Source organism: Homo sapiens, chromosome 5 (genome assembly GCF_000001405.40).
Source record: "Homo sapiens chromosome 5, GRCh38.p14 Primary Assembly".
Classification (NCBI taxonomy): Eukaryota; Metazoa; Chordata; class Mammalia; order Primates; family Hominidae; genus Homo; species Homo sapiens.
The window spans coordinates 69,296,224-69,309,098 of NC_000005.10; the positions used below are offsets into that span (position 1 = coordinate 69,296,224).

The window sequence follows — 12,875 nt, forward strand, 5'->3', positions numbered from 1 at the left end:
CCATCCTCAACTTTTGTACTTGAATAAACTCTTTAAACTAGATTCTGGCCAGGCGCGGTGGCTCATGCCTGTAATCCCAGCACTTTGGCAAGCCAAGGCAGGTGGATGATCTGAAGTCAGGAGTTCGAAACCAGCCGGACCAACATGGTGAAATCCCATCTCTACTGAAAATACAAAAATTAGCTGGGTGTGGTGGCTCATGCCTGTAATCCCAGCTACTTGGGAGGCTGAGGTAGGAGAATCACTTGAACCTGGGAGGCAGAGGTTGCAGTGAGCTGAAATCATGCCTTGCACTCCAGCCTGGGCAACAAGAGCAAAACTCTGTCTCAAAAATAAATAAATAATAAACTAGATTCTGATTCCTTTATTTTTATACTTGGTTGACCACTGTAGTTGGAAGAAAAGTAGTATAATAATTTTACTTTTTAAAACTCCACTTTAAAAGCTAACTACAAGTGGGCCAGGCAGGGTGTCTTATGCCTATAATCCCAGCACTTTGGGAGGCCGAGGCAGGTGGATCACCTGAGTTCAGAAGTTCGAGACCAGCCTAACCAACATGGTGAAACCTGTCTCTACTAAAAAATATAAAAATTAGCTGGGCATGGTGGTGGGTGCCTGTAATCCCAGCTACTCGGGAGGCTGAGGCAGGAGAATCGCTTGAACCCGGGAGGCAGAGGTTGCAGTGAACTGAGATTGCACCATTGTACTCCAGCCTGGGCAACAGAGCAAGACTCTGTCTCAAACACAAAGCTAACCACAAATACTTTCCCAACATATTCCAGTATGTACCAATTTCACAGGGGCAATCTACACAACATAGCGTGCCATATATTTTATTTTATTCTTATTTATTTATTTTTGAGACGGAGTCTCGCTCTGTCACATAGGCTGGAGTGCAGTGGTACAATCTCGGCTCCCTGCAACTTCTGCCTCCCAAGTTCAAACTGAGATTTCAGGCATATGCCACCACACCCAGCTAATTTTTTTTTGTATTTTTAGTAGAGATGGGGTTTCACCATGGTGGTCAGGCTGGTCTCGAACTCCTGACCGCAAATGATCCACCTGCCTCGGCATCCCAAAGCGCTGGGATTATAGATGTGAGCCACTGCGGCTGGCCTGTGCCATATTTATTTATTTATTTATTTATTTTTCTGAGACAGAGTTTTGCTCTCGTTGCCCAGGCTAGAGTGCAATGGCGAGATCACAGCTCACCACAACCACTGTCTCCCAGGTTCAAGCAATTCTCCTGCCTCAGCCTCCCAAGTAGCTGGGATTACAGGCATACACCACCACGCCCAGCTAATTTTGTATTTTAGTGGAGACAGGGTTTCTCCGTGTTGGTCAGGCTGGTCTCAAACTCCCAACCTTAGGTGATCCACCTGCCTCAGCCCCCGCAAAGTGCTGGGATTACAGGCGTTAGCCACCGCACCTGGCCCATATATTTTAAAGTTTCATATGGGCTAGGTATGGTGGCTCACGCCTGTAATCCCAGCATTTTGGGAGGCTGAGGCAGGCAGATAGCTTGAGCCCAGGAGTTCAAGACCAGCCTGGGCAACATGAGACCCTGTCTCTACAAAAAATAAAAAAAAAACATTAGCTGGGTATGATAATGGTGTGCACCCGTAGTCCCAGGTACTTGGCTGGGAGGCTGAGGTCAGAGGATCACTTGAGCCCAGGAGGTCTAAGCTGCAGTGAGCCATGATTGTGCCACTGTACTCCAGCCTGAGCTACAGAGTAAGGCCCTGTCTCAAAAACAAAACAAAACAAAAAAATAAATAAAATTAAACTAAAAATAAAGTTTTTTTTTTTTTGAGATGGAGTCCCGCTCTGTCACCAGGCTGGAGTGCAGTGGCACAATCCCGGCTCACTGCAACCTCTGCCTCCCGGGTTCAAGCGATTCTCCTGCCTCAGCCTCCCGAGTAGCTGGGATTACAGGCATACGCCACTACGCCCAGCTAATTTTTGTACTTTTAATAGAGACGGGGTTTCATCATGTTGGCCAGGATGGTCTTGATCTCCTGACCTTGTGATCCGCCCGCCTCGGCCTCCCAAAGTGCTGGGATTACAGGCGTGAGCCACCGCGCCCGGCCCCTGTTGCTGTACTTTCACATGGATGAGCTGACATAAAATACAATCCTTTTTAAGAGGCTTTTCAGAGAGGAAAATTCCACTGCCTCCCTTAGTGTAAAGGCCATTTCGGAACATTCTTTCTCACATCAGTGATAACCGTGAAGCACGGAGTGAGCTTTCAGTTGAGCTGAATGTACAAATGGTGGATCTGTGGCAGAAAGGTCTTTTCCCTTTTCATTTTCCTACTCCTGATAATCTCCCATGCCTAGGTTGCCAAAAGCAACTAAGACCTGGGAAGGGCCAATATCAATCACAACGGGTTGCGGCCAGGACCCCTGACTCCCGGTGCTACTTCCTCACCTCAGTGCTCCCTCACCAGCTGTGTCGGGGCCCTTGTTCCTGCCTGGCTGGAGGTAAGGCTGGCCCATAGTCTACTCGAGACTATCATAAAACACCCTGTCCCTAAACTTTCTTTAAGCTGTTTCTTGCATTTTTCCTTTTTGCTATTATACTAGTTTTCCACCCATGGCAGTAGAACATGGTGCTCAAAAGCACAGACTCTAAGCTCTGTCTACAGGCTGCAAATCCCAGCTCCACCACGCACTAGCTGTGTGACACCAGGCAAATTACCTAACCCCGCAATGCCTCTGTTACCTCATTTGTGAAGTGGGGATTTTAACAGTACCCACTTTATGGGGTAGTTGTGTAGACTAAATATGTCAATGTATGTAAAGTTCTTAGAACATCATCTGAACTTGCTCAGGACTATGCAGGTATTTGCTATTATTATTACCAATTTTTCTTAAGTTCTTTCTTTCTTTTTTTTTTTTTTTTGAGACGGAGTCTCGCTCTTTCGCCCAGGCCAGACTGCAGTGGCGCGATCTCGGCTCACTGCAAGCTCCGCCTCCTGGGTTCACGCCATTCTCCTGCCTCAGCCTCCCAAGTAGCTGGGACTACAGGCGCCCGCCACCGCGCCTGGCTAATTTTTTGTATTTTTAGTAGAGACAGGGTTTCACCATGTTAGCCAGGATGGTCTCGATCTCCTGACCTTGTGATCCGCCCGCCTCGGCTTCCCAAAGCGCTGGGATTACAGGCGTGAGCCACCGTGCCCGGCCTTCTTAAGTTCTACAAGAAGTGCATGGCTGCCCCCTATCACTCTACTGCTCCATTATTTTTTTGTGAGGCCCCTTCTGACCTCATTAGCCAAACTCCCACATTGCCAGCCATTGGCATTGCACCAGCAGATTTTTGTTCTGAACCTGGCTTTACCACAGATTGACCTTGCCACCTCAGGAAAGTAACTGAACTAATTTGAGCCTTAGTTTCCTCTTCTCTAAAATGGGGATAATATCTGCTTTGCAGCCCTCACAAGACTCCGATGAAGATCAGATACAACAATTTGTATGAAAGCACTCAAACGGTAAGCCCCGACCCACATGTGAGACATTACCCAACACAGCTTCCGCTAGAACTGTAAAGATGAGAAATAAACGGGGCAGAAGTGGCCAGCACATTCCCTCATGTCCAAGAATGTCCTGTATGAAGGGCATGGAACCAGCAGAACTGGAAGAACCAACCTGGGCCCAGGGGCGTCTCTCACTCCCATCCTCAAATTGCTAAGTATGTGCTATCCTACAATGTGTACACAAGGGCAATGGGAGAAAGAAAGGAAAGTAGCAAATGTCCCTTCTGTTCAGCTTTCCTGCATGCTTACCTACCTCAAGACCTGAAGCCTCTGCAAAGCCACTTTTATCACAGCACATGTTTTCCTGAGCCATCTTCTGCTGTTTGATATCAAGCATGGCGAGGGCCTCCAAATACCGTTGATTCAAAACTAGGAAGGGCCATATGAGAAAGTATTCATTATGAAGCCTAACTCCACCCTCATCCAATCTAGTTACCCCAACATGACATATTCATTTCGTACAAGCAATACACTACCCACAACATCGGGCTCCATTCAGAAAACCTATCTGATAGAATAGTGAGTATCACGTAAGATCATATATATGTAATACTAGATGAGATGGTGTCATTTTTAATGGAAAAGCATCTTAACTTTGCAACTGAAGTCGGATTCCTGTTTCCTCTTGGAAAATTTGTAGGATTTTTCCAAAAGGGAATATGTAAAAGCAAATTATTCAGAGACTTTATGGTTAGTGAGAAAACTGGATGGTGAGATCTCATATATTGTATCCATATCAAACATACCAGCTATCCAAGCTCTATCAGGTTTTTGTATTAGGAGTTTTCACAAGAAGATCTCAAACCAAACATTTAGAGAGGGGTCCTGCTGTCTACTGGAGAGCAGAAAACAGTATCTTTTCCCTGTCACTGCAGGGTAGAGTGGTAGGACAGAAGGGGAGGACTTATGATCATGAGCAGCTTCTGTCCTGAACTTATCTCACACAGGAGACATCTTTATCAGCTGGAGTCCCTGGTGCTGAGAAGCTCCAGCTGTGTGTGCAGATCTCAGCTGGAGGCGTTTATACAACTCAGCTAAGACACAGCATAAAGTGCCGCTCTCAGCCCCAGGGCCTAATTTAGAGCTTTTTTTGTCCTTTTCTTCTTTTTTCCTTTCTTTTCTTCTTTTTTTCCTTCCTTTTCTTTGTGTAAGAGACAGAGTCTTGCTCTGTCACTCAGGCTGGAGTGCAGTGGTCCAATCATAGCTCACTGCAACTTCAAACTCCTGGGCTCCAGGGATCCTCTCACCTTAACCTCCCAATCAGCCAGGAAGTTGCAGTGAGGTGAGATTGCGCCATTGCACTCTAGCCTGGGCGACAGAGCAAGACTCCCTCTCAAAAAAAAAAAAAAAAAACCAGGTGCATGCTACCATGCCTGGCTAATTTTTGTTTATTTTTTGTAGAGGAAGAGTCTCGTTATGTTGCCCAGATTGGTCTCAGACTCCTGGCCTCAAGCAATCCTCTCCCCTTGGCTTTCCATAGCACTGGCCATTACGGGCATGAGCAACAGCGCCTGGCTTGTGATTTGTCCTCTTCAAGCCACCTCTTTAATTTCTGCTAAGAAGGAAGAACTAGCCTCTTCTCTAAATTTTTAGGGCTGGGTGCAGTGGCTCACACCTGTAATCCCAGCACTTTTGGAGGCCAAGGTGGGAGGATTGCTTGAGCCCAGGAGTTGAGCCCTCACAAAGTGAGTCACCCCCATGTCTACAAAAATTTTTTTTTTAATGTTGCACTTTGGGAGGCCAAGGCGAGCAGATCACCTGAGGTCAGGAGTTCAAGACCAGCCTTGTCAACATGGTGAAACCCCGTCTCTACAGAAAGACAAAAATATTAGCTGGGAATGATGGCAGGTGCCTATAATCCCAGCTACGTGGTAGGCCAAGGCGGGAGAATCCTTGAACTCGGGAGGAGGAGGTTGTAGTGAGGTGAGATTGCACCATTGCACTCTAGCCTGGGTGACAGAGTGAGACTCTGTCTCAAAAAAAAAAAAGAAATCTGGGCATGGTGGTGGGTGTCTGCAATCCCAGCTACTCAGGAAGTGGAGGCAGGAGAATCACTTGAACCTGGGAGGCAGAGGTCACAGTGAGCCAAGATTGTGCCACTGCACTCCAGCCTGGGCGACAGAGTGAGATTCTGTCTCAAAATAATAATAATAATAATAATAATATATTTTTTAATTAGCTGGACATGGTGGAACATGCCTGTAGTACCAACAACTTGGGAGGCTGAGGTGGGAGGATCTCTTGAGCCCAGAAAGTGGAGGTTGCAGTGAACTGAGATTGTGTCACTGCACTCCAAACTGGGCAACAGAGCAAGACCCTGTGTGAAAATAAATAAATAAATAAACAAATAAATAAATAAAATATGTAAAAAGTTAACATCAGTTTGGACATGGTGATTCACACCTGTAATCCCAGCACTTTGGGAGGCCAAGGTGGGTGGATCATTTGAGGTCAGGAGTTTGAGACCAGCCTGGTCAACATGGTGAAACCCTGCCTCTACTAAAAATACAAAAATTAGCCAGGTGTGGTGGCAGGCACCTGTAGTCCCAGCTTCTTGGGAGGCTGAGGCAGGAGGATCACCTGAACTGGGAGGTGGAGGTTGCAGTAAGCCAAGATGGCGTCACAGCACTCCAGCCTGGGCAACAGAGTGAGACTCCATCTCAAAAAAAAAAAAAAAAAAAAAAAGGCCAGTCGCGGTGGCTCACACCTGTAATCCCAGCACTTTGGGAGGCTGAGGCGGGCGGATCACGAGGTCAGGAGATTGAGACCATCCTGGCCAACATGGTGAAACCCCTGTCTCTACTAAAAATACAAAAATTAGCTGGGTGTGGTGGCATGCACCTGTAGTCCCAGCTACTCAGGAGGCTGAGGCAGAAGAATTGCTTAAACCCAGGAGGCGGAGGTTGCAGTGAGCTAAGATTGCACCACTGCACTCCAGCCTGGCGATAAAGTGAGACTCTGTCTCAAAAAAAAAAAAAGTTAACATTAAATATCTTATTATCCTTGCATCAACTTTCATCGTAAGGTAGACCATTATATAAGAGATATATAACATATAAATTATATACACACATATATATCATTTCTACTTAGGTTCTTCAAATATCAGGTGCTCTACCATTTTGCTTTAAGTGAAAACTAAATAAAAAGGAGAAAATGGGGAGAAATTGCTTAATAGGTAGGAGATTTTACTTTGGAGTACTGGAACTGTCTGGAACTAGACAGAGGTGGTGGTTAGGCAACTTTGTGAATGCCACTGAATTGTTAACTTATTTTTTCGAGACCGAGTTTCGCTCTGTCACCCAAGCTGCAGTGCAGTGGCACAATCATGGCTCACTGCAGCCTCAACCTCCTGGGCTCCAGCAATCCTCCCACTTCAACCTCCCAAGTAGCTGGGACTACAGGCCAGTGCCACCACATCTGGCTAATTTTGGTTTTTCTGTTGTTGTTGTTGTTTGTTTGTTTGTTTCTAATAGAAACAAGGTTTTGCTATGTTGCCCAGGCTGGTCTCAAACTCCTAAGCTCAAGTGATCCTCCTGCCTTGGCCTCCCAAAGTTCTGGGATTACAGGCATGAGTCACTGTGCCTGGCAAGAATTGTTCACTTTTTTTTTTTTTTTTTTTTTGAGATGGAGTCTCACTCTGTTGTCCAGGCTGGAGTGCAGAGGCACAATCTTGGGTCACTGCAACCTCGGCCTCCAGAGTAAAAGCGATTCACCTGCCTCAGCCTCCTGAGTAGCTGGGACTACAGGTGCGCACCACCATGTCTCGCTAATTTTTGTATTTTTGGTAGAAATGGAGTTTCATTATGTTGGCCAGGCTGGTCTTGAACTCCTGACCTCAGATGATCTGCCCACCTTGGCCTCCCAAAGTGCTGGGATTACAAGAATGAGCTACTGTGCCCAGCCAGGAATTGTTCACTTTTAAATAGTTTTATGTTATGTGAATTTCACCTTGATAAATTTTCTTAAATTTAAAAAACCTAAATGATACATTTCTCCCCTCTATTATACTTAATGTATATTATTTCAAAATACTAGCATGTTATCTTTATTGATACATGTGCTCTTAATACAAAAATCATCATTACCTGCATTGTCAGACTTCAGCATTTTAATTTCTTCTGTTTTCACTTTCAAATTCTCTTTGAGGACTGCATTTTCACAGTTTAGCCTGGAAAAAAGTGGCTTTCAAATAACTAAAACATTAATATTTCCTTGCTGAGCGAGAATATTTTTATTGCCATAATTGGAACACAAAAATCTAAATATAGTTTTTCCTACTTCAAAATAGTCTGGAATTTACACGTATCACAAAAATAAAAACAATTTAAAGGAATGTGGTAAGAATTTTTTTTTTTTTTTTTGAAATGGAGTCTCACTCTGTCGCCCAGGCTGAAGTGCAGTGGCACAATCTCAGCTCACTGCAACCTCCACCTCTTGGGTTCAAGTGATTCTCCTGCCTCAGCCTTCCAAGTAGCTGGGATTACAGGTGTCTGCCACCACACTTGGCTAATTTTTGTATTTTTAGTAGAAACGGGATTTCACCATGTTGGCCAGGCTGGTCTCGAACTCCTGACCTCAAGTGATCAGCCCGCCTCAGCCTCCCAAAGTGCTGGGATTACAGTTGTGAGCCATCATGCCCGGCCAGGATTTTAAACATACCCTTTTTTTTTTTTTTTCTTTTTGAGACGGAGTCTTGCTCTGTTACCTAGGCTGGAGTGCAGTCATGTGATCTCGACTCAGTGCAACCTCCGCCTCCCAGGTTCAAGTGATTCTCCTGCCTCAGCCTCCTGAGTAGCTAGGATTACAGGCGCCCGCCACCACGCCCGGCCAATTTTTGTGTTTTAGTAGAGAAGTGGTTTCATCATGTTGGCTGGGCTGATCTCAAACTCCTGACTTCAAGTGATCTGCCCACCTCGGCCTCCCAAAGTGCTGGGATTACAGGCGTGAGCCACTGCGCCTGGACTAAACATACTCTTAACCCTTCTTAGCTGAGACATAATCAGAACCAGAAATATTTTTAAACCATCCATTTTGCATACTCATTCTCTTTACTTAATAACCATTTGAATTTCAACTATATGCTTAGGTCACCTTCAGAAACTTACATACACAGGTCCTCATGTAAACTATGGACTTCGGGTAATAATGATGTATCAACATTGGTTATAAAAAATGTACCACTCTGGTGGGGGATGTTGTCAGTGGGGGAGGCTGTGTATATGGGAAATCTCCGTACCTTCTGATCAATTTTGTTGTGAATCTACAACTGCTCTAAAAAAAAAAAAACCAACAAAGTATTTCATGGAAAAAAAAGATACATAGGGTACACCCATGTTCATAGCAGCATCATGCAAAATAGCCAAAAGGTAGAGTTAACTCAAGTGTCCATCAGGAATGAATGGATAAACAAAATGGCGTACATACATAACATGGAATATTATTCAGTCTTTCTGGTTTTTTTTTCTTTTTGGATACAAGGTCTCGCTCTGTCATCAAAGCTAGAGTACAGTGGCCCAGTCTCAGGTCCCTGTAGCCTCTACCTCCTGGGTTCAAGCGATTCTCCTGCCTCAGTCTCCTGAGTAGCTGGGATACAGGTGTGTGCCACCACGCCCAGTTAATTTTTGTATTTTTGGTAGAGACAGGGTTTCGCCACATTAGCCAGGTTGGTCTAGAACTCCTGGCCTCAAGTGATCCACCTGCCTCAGCCTCCCAAAATGCTGGGATTATGTAGAGAGCCGAAAGCCAGAGGATCGTGACCAACTTAGCATTCCACTGAGGCTATATGATCAAACAGCAAACTGTTTATCATGAATGCAGGATGTAGGCAAACTCACATCTGCACCTGCCGCCAGAAGGTTTGCTGAGGGCAGTCACTCTCTGGCGCCGTGCTCCTTGAGGTTATCTACTGGAACATCTGGAGACTACTGTTCAGAGAATGCAGTTGTGCAAGCCTGCACCGAGTCAAGCAGCTGACTGACAACCACCTCCTCCCTATCTCCTTTACTCAATAAATACGAAGGGTGCTAAAAGCTCAGGACCCTTGTTCACTGGAGCAAGGAGCCCCCTGACCCCTTCTTCCAAATATACTCTTTTGTCTTTATTTTTATTCCCACGTTCGTCTCCCTTTGTTCAGTCCAACAGGGATTGGGGCCACGATAGGATTGTGTGAGCCACCATACCCAACTGAAATGACTGACTTTATAGTAAGTGTATAATTTAAAGTTATTAAATAAACTCACACAAATAAAAGTTGTTCCAAAGATATTTTTTCTCTTTTTGGAGCTGATTGTCAGAACATAAACATTTACCATCTTAACCATCTTATTTTTCATCTTTTTTTTTTTTAACAAGATGAGGATCTTGCTATGTCATCTAGGCTGGTTTTGAACTCCTGAACCAAAGCAGTCCTCCCACCTCAGGCTCCCAAAGTGCTGAAATTACAGGTGTGAGCCATCATGCCCAGCCCCTCAAAAGATTTTGTTTGAAAAAAACAAATAGTTCCAATTCTAAAATAATTCTTACACTGTATTTTAAGATAGAGTTTATACTATTTTGGTTTTTGTTTTTTTGTTTTGTTTTATTTTTGAGACACGGACTCACTCTATCATCCAGGCTGAAGTGCAGTGGCGCAATCATGGCTCACTGCAGCCTCCAACTCCCAGGCCCAAGTGATCTTCACACCTCAGCTTCCCATGTAGCTGGGGCTACAGGTGCAAGCCACCACACCCAGTTACTTTTTGTATTTTTGTAGAGATAGGGTTTCAACATGTTGCCCAGGCTGGTCTCAAATTCCTGGACTCAAGTGATCCTCAGATCCAAGTGCCAAAGATTCCCAAAAGTGCTGGGATTAAAGGTGTGAGACACCACACCCAGCCTATGCTATTTTTTTTCTTTAAGGAAAATTAACACTAACAAAAATATGCGACTAGTAAGTGGATAAGCAATAAAAATTTTGTAATATTTTGCACTTGGCTCAAAGAAGAAAGCATAAATTACTTTTGAATTACATAGATTTTAAAGGTTGTCAAAGAAAAATAATGGAGTAATATACAAACCTGTCATATTTTTGGATCCAAGATTCCTCTATATTTTTAAATCTATTATGATCAAATTCTATTTCCCACTGCAAGGCATTTATTTCCTATGGAAAGAAAATAGTACCTTCATGGCAAATTACTACAAATAAATCATTTCAGGACATTGTGAATAGCTGAAATAAATCATATAATCAGTTCTCAGAAATGGTTTAAAGAGAAAAAATTAATTATTGCTCTAAAAGTATCTCTGACATTTGCAAACACATATAACATGCCTCTTTAGCATTCAAAACAACTCTGCCAAAACTCACTTAATATAGAAAAAATTTCAAATTGTTTGCCTTCAAAATTTGCTGGGCTGCTACACCTAGATTTCTCAGTGCCCACCTCCGCTGCATGTAGAGACCTCAAGCAAAATCCACTCCTGGAAATCTTAACTCAATGGTCCCATCAAGGGAGAACACACCAAGCACAGGAGACATGACCATCTAGGATGATTCCTAACTACCTTTATAGTGAAGATGAGATGGTCAGAAAGACGTACGTCCTGCCAGGCAACGATAAGGATTTAAAAAAAAAAATTTTTTTTAAGAAGAAAAATGGGCTGGGCACGGTGTCTCACGCCTGTAATCCCAGCACTTTGGGAGGCCAAGGTGGGTGGATTACAAGGTCAGGAGATCGAGACCATTCTGGTTAACATGGTGAAATCCTGTCTCTACTAAAAATACAAAAAATTGGCTGGGCGTGGTGGCGGGCACCTGTAATCCCAGCTACTTGGGAGCCTGAGGCAGGAGAATGGCGTGAACCCGGGAGGCAGAGCTCGCAGTGAGTAGAGATCGCGCCACTGCACTCCAGCCTGGGCGACAGAGCAGGACTCCATCTCAAAAAAAAAAAAAAAGAAGAAGAAATGAGAAGTACCAATTTGGCAGGCCTCCTACTACCTTAACATGGGGAAATAAAAATAACCTGAATTCATTGTGCACATGACAATCTGTTTTAGATTGTAAACTCCAAAAGGGAAGACCATCAGAACTGAAGCACACCTAGCAGAAGGTAGGCACAAGTGACAGATCCATTAGTATGGTGAGTTTAGGGAAATTATATTTAACAGCTTATTGGATTCAATAAGTCTACACTAAAAGCACCAAATACCTTCTCCAAGGATCTGTTTTGTTCCATAGTTTTTTGAAGCACTGCCTGCGTATGACTTGTGGCTTTGCCCAGTATTGCCTAAGAAAAATAAAACTAGCATCAGTATAAATTAAATTTGTAATCACTCCTATGTACATCATGAAGTTCTCTTTTATTTTAAGGCAATGGAAAATTAAGATGAATTGACATAAGAATTTCACAGTGACCACCTTTTATGGAGAGTCTGATAGTTCAAAAGTCAGGAGATCTTGGTTTGGCTCTTTTCCAATGAATGTGGGAATTAATGGATGAATTTTCCACACAAAGAAAGTGTTCAGAACAGTACTATTCATCAGTCAAAAAGTGGAAACCATCTGATACGGTTTGGCTCTGTGTCCCCACCCAAATCTCATTTTGAATTGTACTCTCATAATTACCACATGTTGTGAGAGGACCCGGTGGGAGATAATCTGAATCATGGGGGTGGTTTTCCCCATACTGTTCTCATGGTAGTGAATAAGTCTCAAGAGATCTGTTGATTTTATCAGGGGTTCTGCTTTTGCATCTCTCTCATTTTCTCTTGCTGCTGCCATGTTATAAGTGCCTTTCGCCTCCCACCATGATTCTGAGACCTCCCCAGCCATGTGGAACTGTAAGTCCAATTAAACCTCTTTTTCTTCCCAGTCTTGGGTATGTCTTTATCAGGAGCATAAAAATGGACTAATACAGTAATTTGGTACCAGTAGAGTGGGGCATTGCTGAAAAGATACCCAAAAATGTGGAAGCTACTTTGAAACTGGGTAACAGGCAGAGATTGGGACAGTTTGGAGGGCTCAGAAGAAGACAGGAAAATGTGGGAAAGATTGGAACTTTCTAGAGACTTGTTGAGTGTCTTTCACAAAAACACTGATAATGATATGGACAATGAAATCCAGGCTGAGGCGGTCTCAGATGGAGATGAGGAACTTGTTGGGAACTAGAGTAAAGGTGACTCTTGTTATGTTTTAGCAAAGAGATTTGTGGCATTTTGCCCCTGCCCTAGAGATCTGTGGAACTTTGAACTTGAGAGAGATGATTTAGAGTATCTGGTGGAAGAAATTTCTAAGCAGCAAAGCATTCAAGAGATGGCTTGGGTACTGTTAAAGGCATTCCATTTTAAAAGGGAAGCA

General features: G+C 43.9%; 1 protein-coding gene across 33 annotated transcripts in view; it reads right to left on the bottom strand.

Moving 5' to 3' along the window:
- The window catches only part of CCDC125 (coiled-coil domain containing 125), a 59,763-nt gene that overhangs the window by 23,185 nt on the left and 23,703 nt on the right, over nucleotides 1-12,875 (bottom strand). For 32 of the 33 annotated variants that reach the window (XM_011543258.3, XM_047416908.1, XM_047416901.1 and 29 more), the window contains 4 exons: nucleotides 11,728-11,805; nucleotides 10,594-10,679; nucleotides 7,624-7,706; nucleotides 3,789-3,904 (listed from right to left, as the gene is read on the bottom strand). In XM_011543258.3, coding sequence (XP_011541560.1) covers nucleotides 3,789-3,904; nucleotides 7,624-7,706; nucleotides 10,594-10,679; nucleotides 11,728-11,805 — 363 coding nt within the window. Of the gene's footprint in view, nucleotides 1-3,788; nucleotides 3,905-7,623; nucleotides 7,707-10,593; nucleotides 10,680-11,727; nucleotides 11,806-12,875 lie in introns of those variants that run through there. The other variant, XM_017009211.3, reaches the window with a different exon arrangement.